At 42.0% G+C, this 7,697-nt stretch overlaps 1 annotated feature.

Annotated features, from left to right (window-relative positions):
* Nucleotides 3,294-4,493: an enhancer, noted in NCBI's record as "MED14-independent group 3 enhancer chr2:217970089-217971288 (GRCh37/hg19 assembly coordinates)". NCBI's record gives its function as "activates an origin of replication core promoter dependent on BRD2, BRD4, P300/CBP and CDK7 cofactors, and independent of MED14, by STARR-seq in HCT116 cells {active_cell/tissue: HCT116}" and the evidence as "EXISTENCE:reporter gene assay evidence [ECO:0000049][PMID:35650434]".

The raw sequence follows: 7,697 nt of genomic DNA on the forward strand, positions 1-7,697 counted from the left end.
CAGTGTTGGGGAAAGCACCTGGTGCGAGGTAATTGAATCAAGGAGGCAGATTTCCCCCTTGCTGTTCTCCTGAAAGTGAATGCGTTCTCATGAGATCTGGTTGTTCGAAAGTGTATAGCACTTCCCCTTTCTTTCTCCCTCTCCTGCTCCACCATGGTAAGATGTGTCTGCTTCCCCTTCACCTTCTGCCATGATTGTAAGTCTCCTGAGGCCTCCGCAGCCATGCTTCATGTACAGCCTGCAGAACTGTGAGTCAAGTAAGCCTCTTTTCTTCATAAATTACCCAGTGTTGGGTAATTCTTTATAGCAATGTGAAAACAGACTAATACATAGGCTTTCCTCCTCCTTTTCTACTACCCCTTTGCTTTTCTTTGAGGTTTTGTTTTTTCATATTGAATGACCAAAATCATGTCCCTAGGATGGGGAAAAAATCTAATGAATTAATTCACAGACTGTCAATATCTGACAACATCCAAGCTACCAGTTCTTTAAGTCAATAAAATCTGTTTAATTTTCATAGACTGGTGATGACTAACTCTGCCGTAGGGAAAATTTGGGTTCTTGATTTTTCTCAAAGTTTTTATTCAAGGTTCCAGAAAGTGGAATTGGCTGTGAGAAAGGTCCTCAGGTACTCATTGTAAACACATTTCTGCCTCCTCTCCCCTGCCCTCACCTCTTCTGCCAAAATATTCCCTGTTCAAGGGGTATACTGGATGGTTTTATCTTCACCATTATGATTATTAAAAGCTAATATAAACAGAATACATCTATATGATAGATATCATGTCAAGAATTTTACATACACTATACTCATTGGTTCATCACCAACTGAGACTTTGTACTCCATTATCAGCTCCATTTATAATAAGAACAGTTCTACCTCTTGTCTTAGTTCCTTTGGGTTGCTTTAGCAAAATACTACATGCTGGGTGGCTCATAAACAACAGAAATTTATTTCTCACTGTTCTGGAGGCTGGAATTCTGAGGTCATGATGCCAGTATGGTCAGATTCTGGTGAGGGCTCTCTTCCTGGCATGCAGAAAACCACCTTCTTACTGTGTCCTCATATGACAGGGAAAAAGGGTGAGAGAACTCTCCAGGGTCTCTTACAAGGAAATTCATCCCATTCATAAGGGCTCTCTCCTCAGGACCTGACCTAATCACCTCTTAAATTCCCCTCCTTTTAATACCGTCACCTTGGGGGTTAGGATTTCAACAAAGGAATTTTAGAGGGACACAATTATTCAGCCCATAACACCTTGTTTTGATGCTTAGAGTAACACAGGGAAACTCAATTCAAGTTTAAGAGACCTTGAAAGTTGACATCATCCATCCCTCAACTTCCAGGCAGAATGAAATCCTCATTGCAGAACTGTAAAGGGGGAAAAGAACTTCTGTTTAAAATTCATTAAAAAATACTCTCTAATAAATGATCCTCAGCCTCCTTCAGTGAGTCATTTTGGTGTATAATAATCATCACAATCAGGAATTCTTTTATTCAATGTACAGCCCACAAATCATAAGACTTCCCTGGAAATTTTACTGGAATTTCATCTGACACCTAATTTTTTCCAACTGGGGTTTTAAAATAGGTTATTTATTTACCCTTAGACCCTCGTTTTGTGGTACCCATACCTCTCTTGAACACTTCAGATTATCATTTGAAATGAGAAGTAGTATGTGTGCATATATTCATGTACGTGTGGTTCAGACAGACATTGAAACAAAAGCAAAATAAAATATCTGCCTATTGTCTTTTATAAGCCAGTATTGTTATTCACGGCTGGGGTTTGAATCTTGCTTAATTATTTGCAATTGCCAGACCATGACCTAAGTAGTTGGGGTAAAGAATACCAAGGGCTCTTTTCCTGTAGATGGGATCAGCAGCTTGGTATGTCAAGCCCTAAAGCATCCTGCCTTCACACAGCTCTTTACTAAGTCATCTGTCTTCACATCCTCACCTTTATAATGGGCTGCTTAATAGCTGCTGGGCATGAATAGCAATCATAAAACATAAAGTGCTGTACAAGTATTGATTAGTAATTAATTTCTCATTTTATTCATCAAAGCTACTTAATTGAGAAACTTTTTCCCCACTTATCTAAGCTTACACACCCAGAAAATGAGGGAAGCGTGTGCATGTGTGTGTGTGTGTGTGTGTGAGAGAGAGAGATCTAAGTGTGTATATGGCAGTAGGGGCTGGATTTAGGGCCTCTGGTTTTTTTCTCTCTTTCATCCACTCACCTGATGGCCGTCTATCTCTATGAGTCATGCAAATGGCTTTGGGGCAGTGATGTCAAGGACATCAATAACATTGTTATAAGAAGGACTGATGAGTCTGCATACTTGCAACTGTCTAATTGGTTCATCTAGAAACCAAAAGACTGGGTCCCAAATAGCAACAGTTCAAAAAAAAAAAAAAAAAAAAAATCCAAGGATCCTGAAGCAAGGAGAAGATACTGGGAGAAAGAGGAAAGGAAGTGATTATAGACAGAGCCTAGGGAAGACACACCATTTCAGTAGCTGGAAATCTGAAATAAGAATTGTTTCCTGCTGGCTCAGGCTTTGGACTAGATCTTAGGGAGCTTGGCTGTGAATTTGGTCTTCCTAGAAGGAACAGCAGAGCAGAACTTGAAGGAAAAGTGTCAACTTATCCCGCTCCCTGTAGCTATCATGGAAGTCTAAGCCAGAGAGATACCTGGCTGGGTTGGCTCAAGCTTAGGAGAGAGCCTTAACTTCTAAAGGGTTGACACAGGGACAGACTTATCCCCTGTCTGGATAATGTTGTCTGCCTGTGTGGGGTTGCATGAGGGTATGGAGTTATTTTTATTTCACTTTTTCTTCTCTTAACCACACAATGCTAGGTCTCTTGATATTTTTCCCCTCAAGTTTACTTTTAGAAATTGCATTACTATCTGCTAATCTAAACATATTAATTTCAGCCTGAGGTCTAAGGGTTTAAAGAAAAAATCTCTCTCTTTGTCTTCAGTTTCTTTGTTCAGATTCTTTATTACAAAGACATAATAGTAGAAAGACATCTGTCTGCTGGATCACAATTAATATTTACCCATGGGCACATGTAGCTCTCTATTTTCAGGCCTCCTTCACCTAGAACTGAAAAGATGTCCAGGTTACCCTACAGTGTAGGGCCTACACAACTTATTTGAAAAGGGAAAGATGATTTTCTTCAGTTCATTTAACAAAACACTTTATAAACATTTGTTATGTGCCAAGAGCTATTTTGAAGTACTTTTCAAGTATTAACTCATTTAATTCTTTCAGCAACCCAGTGAGATAGGGACTATTATTATTCCCATTGTACAGATGGGGAAATCAAGGCATGGAGAGATGATATGACTTCCCCCCAGTTGCACACCTCATTAGTGGTGGAATCAGGATTCTAACCAAGGCAGTCTGGCCTGGGATCCTTCATTCTTGACCATCACTTCAAGATGAAGCTCACCCTTACTGATACTTCCTGGTCTTATCTTTTAATTATTCAGGTACTCAATTTTCTTACTCATATAGGGAGATTGTATAATGAGATCTCCTCATTTATTCAAGTAAAGCCTGTGGTGTTTAGCTCCCCCTTGGTTCTCCTTGCTTTGTATTGTAAATACCTTGACTATGCCTTTAGCTCAGGCCTTTAGGCTTAGAGTTACAGGGTTACAGGGAGCTCATAGGGCCCTGTACAACTATTCTACAGAGTTTGAGGATGGATATAACCAAACCTGACACCCTCTTCTAGGCCAAAGCCACAGAAGGAAAGAAGAGAACAGCTTAGTAGTCAAGGGTGCTCCGTCAAACCACATAGTTTAGATTCTTAGAATCTGGTATCATCTGTGCCACCCTTGCTGAGTCACTTCCCGGCAGTCCCTGCCTTCTTATGGGCTGGAGCTTGGTCTTAATCATGAGGAATTTCAGCAGGAATGGATGTCACCAGCTCCTTATACAGTCACAAAACCACTTCTGTTGGGTTCAGAGCCATGGAGCATCCACACAGCATTCCTTCCTGCCTGTCAAGCTTCAGAAGTTTCCATGGCTTCCCCAACACCCAAAGGAAGAGGAGAGTAGAGGAAAACGGAAGAAAGGGAAGACAGAAGAAGAGAGAGAGGGGACAGAAAAAGAGGGGGAAGGGAGAAGAGAGGCAAGGATGGGAGGAAGGAAGGAAGGAAGGGACGGAGGGAGGGAGGAAGGAAGGGAGGGAAGAAAGGCTTTTCATTAAGCCTCAGATCAACCAACCTCTGGCCTGCTCTTCCTGATTCCTCTGCAATAGGTGTTCCACGTGTTGTACTGTAAAACTCACTTCCAACTTCAGCATTCTTCTGTTGTTTAAGGCCTTCTGTGACCTCTGATTTCCCCAAGTTCAAGTCCAAACTCCTAAGCATGGGTCACAAAGTTCTTTATAATCTGGTCCCCATTTTTCCTTTCTATTTTGCCTCTCTATCCTTTCCATATTCCCATTTTCTCCCTTCCCTCCTCTTCCCTCCCTTCCTCTCCTCTCCCCTCCCTTTCCTCTCTCATTCTGCCCATCTACCCTGCACCCCCTTTCCCTGCCTGCCTTCCTCTTCCCACCTTCTTCTTTTCTTCCCTACCTCTACCTTCAATAATATTAACCTGGTTGTAATTCTCTAAAACACAAATCTTCCCTCTTGCCTCCTGATCTTTGCTCAGATCTTCCCTTTGCTTGGAATCTTTTCCCCTGTTCCCGCAATCGGATGACTAACTGCCACTTAATCTCTAAAACCCAACCTAGTTTTGCTCCAAGGATACTATTCCCTGGCCCTACCACAGCGCCTCCTGTCTACCCTACAATGCAACAGCAGGCCTCATAGTATTTTACTCTCCACCTTAATGTTCTTCTCTCCCACAGGACCATAATCTTCATAAAGGGGTCATGTCCTTGACAAATTATCTCTGCAAAGCACACTATGTGGTACATGGAAGATACTAGCAAAGATTTGTCGACAGATGACATCAATAGTGTATGGCAGTGTAAACTGGGGCCCATTCCTAACAAAGAGTCTTAATATAATTTCCTCGGGTATCACACTGGGGGTGAGAGCCAGAAAAGAGGTCAAGTCATTTGAAGTCGCCTGTACAGAACATGTAGCTATTCAGATTACAGCCGGGACTAGAACCCAGCCCATTAAGCTGCAAGCTTCTCAAGGATGAGAAACACATCTTATTAATCCTGCAATTCCAGTGCCTACCATCATGTCTAGAAAGTAGAAGGTGCCTAATGAATGAATGCATGAGTAAGCTGTCACCCCGTTCTTTCTACTGCCTCGGACAATGTGGAAAAGCAACTGTGGCATTACATTGGGGTTGATCACTCTAGACAACTAAACTAAATAATTAGAGCTCTACCATCCAGATTAGGATGTGAATTATCTGCCATCGAAATTTACTGGTTAAGCTGAAAATTATCAAATTGCTTTGACTTTGTGCAGTATAAATGTAAACTGCATTTACTTCCTGAATTGATGGGTTGCATACAAAAGTGGCCCAGATATAGTATTACCACCATGTCCACAGAAAGAGGCTGCTGCTATTTTTAAAGTTCCCCTAGAAAGTAGATGATATGATCCCCCTTGCTTATTCATTCTGATGTCACTCAGACCTCTAGGGAGGAAAGTTCCTCTTTTCATTCTACTAAAATTGCTCCTACCTTGTATTTGGAATGTTTCTCCCTACAGGTCAGATTACAGATGATAGGAAGGCTTCTGATATTGAGCCATCACCCCAGTGTTTGCCCGTGTTCCTGGCTTAGTAGACAGTATAGATGAGAGACAATGAATGTCTGTGTGATGTTAATTTAACACGGACTCCAGCATGTAAGCCTGGACTGGTTAGCACTGCCACTGAGGCAGCATCTGATGGGTTGCAGAGGAGCTGCATAATGTAATATTTTTTAGTACAAACTTCAAAAAGTGACTCTGAAGTAGTCAGACTGCAAGGGCTTCCAATTTTAGCTTTCTACCTAAGTAACTTGCTCTAAGCTCACACAGCTATTACCTTCTCTGAACCTTTTTGCCCCTATCTGTAAAATAGGCCTGATAATAATATAACTTCCTTAGATACAATTCATATAACATGCTTTATACAGTGCCTAAAATATGGTGCATAATAAATGTTACACACACAGACACATGCACCCCTCCCAGCACTGTGGGTAGTTGCTCTAATGGGTAAATCAGCACCTGGGCTGTGACTTTTCTTTGGTGACTCACATTTTAAAGCATTGTTTTCTCTGTTTATATCCTCTTAATTTCTCTATGAATTCATAGCCCTTGGAACCTGCTCTGAAGATGACTGCACAGTATCTCCCAGTTCCCCAGGGCCTCCCAAAGCAAACTTCATGTTATTAACATAGCTTGTATTTTAGCAGACTGTCCCAAATATCCACCCAAATTTGATGTGAATCAGTCGAGTTATTTTCTTTTGAAATGATGATGAGAGAGAGAGGTAAGAGAGAGTTAATTTTGTTTGGCTACATGGAAAGTGAAAAGGCAGAAAGCAGGCAGAGGATAACCCACTTGCCTTGTCCTGCTTCTCATGCACAGAGCACAGATGTAGCACAGAGATCTGAGGATGGGGACCTGTGAGACCCAGGCATCCAACAGAAGCCATTCCTGTTAACAGAGTAAGCGTTTTAGTAAGTATCTCAAGTGAAGAAAACCTTATAGCGAAGTCAACTGAAACATATCTTGGTCTCTAGTGAGCTGTGAGCAATTGCATCAGCAAGGCCTGAGCAGATAAGGGCCCACAAGGAAGAAAGTCACATCCTACAGCACACAGCAGGGGACAGGAGTGAGAGTGTGACACATAGGTCCCACTGCAGCAGGGTCTGGAAGTAGAGAAGTCCCTCGTGGTTGTGGCAGTGACCTCCCATGGCTACCCTGGTCAAGGGTTTTCGCCAGATCCTGGGTAAGGAGGGGCTGGAGAATGGCTCCCAGATCTCCAGTGACTAGAAGTCACATCATTGGATATTTTGTGGTGACATAATTATCAATCGTTTTCATTCCATGTTTATGATGGATGCTTTAGCAATACTTTTGTTAACTTTAATAAAGAATCCAATTATATCAAGATTTTCTAACCAGAACAAGAAATATCAAGGGAAGCGACATCCTTTACTCTGCAAAGCCTCTTAAGAAAATTTCAGGTGTTTTTTTTTTCTTTCTATCAGAATCATCATCCTAGATTTCTAAGTCAGGCAATGATCGACTTGCCAGTTGCCATGCGTACATAAAAATAATTAAAGCAAAAAACAATACTAGGTAGCATAGCATGGGTTCCACCTCCCCAGCTGGACTTTGAATTCTTTGGGAGTAGAATGTTGTCAGCATCTAACTTCTGACTAGCAGAGCTAGGACTTCATCAGCATCATGGTAGAAGGAGGGGAGTGGAGGTGGTGATGGGGGGGTGCATGAGTCTGTCTCTCCCTAGAGACATTAGGACACGTTTCCACCATGATTGTTGCAATGTTTTGTCACAGTCCCATCTGGAGCTTACATGCAACGACTTTGAGGGGTCATTTCGGCCTTGGGATACTAACTCAAGATGTCAGCACCACCTGAGCTATGTGGAGTGAGCAGTTCAGGGCTCCCTAAGGGAGACATTAGAGAGGATCACAGACGTAATCATGCTATTCCACCTGTTCCTATAATTCTCCCCATCAGAGAACTTGTGCT

Source organism: Homo sapiens, chromosome 2, assembly GCF_000001405.40.
Source record: "Homo sapiens chromosome 2, GRCh38.p14 Primary Assembly".
Lineage (NCBI taxonomy): Eukaryota > Metazoa > Chordata > Mammalia > Primates > Hominidae > Homo > Homo sapiens.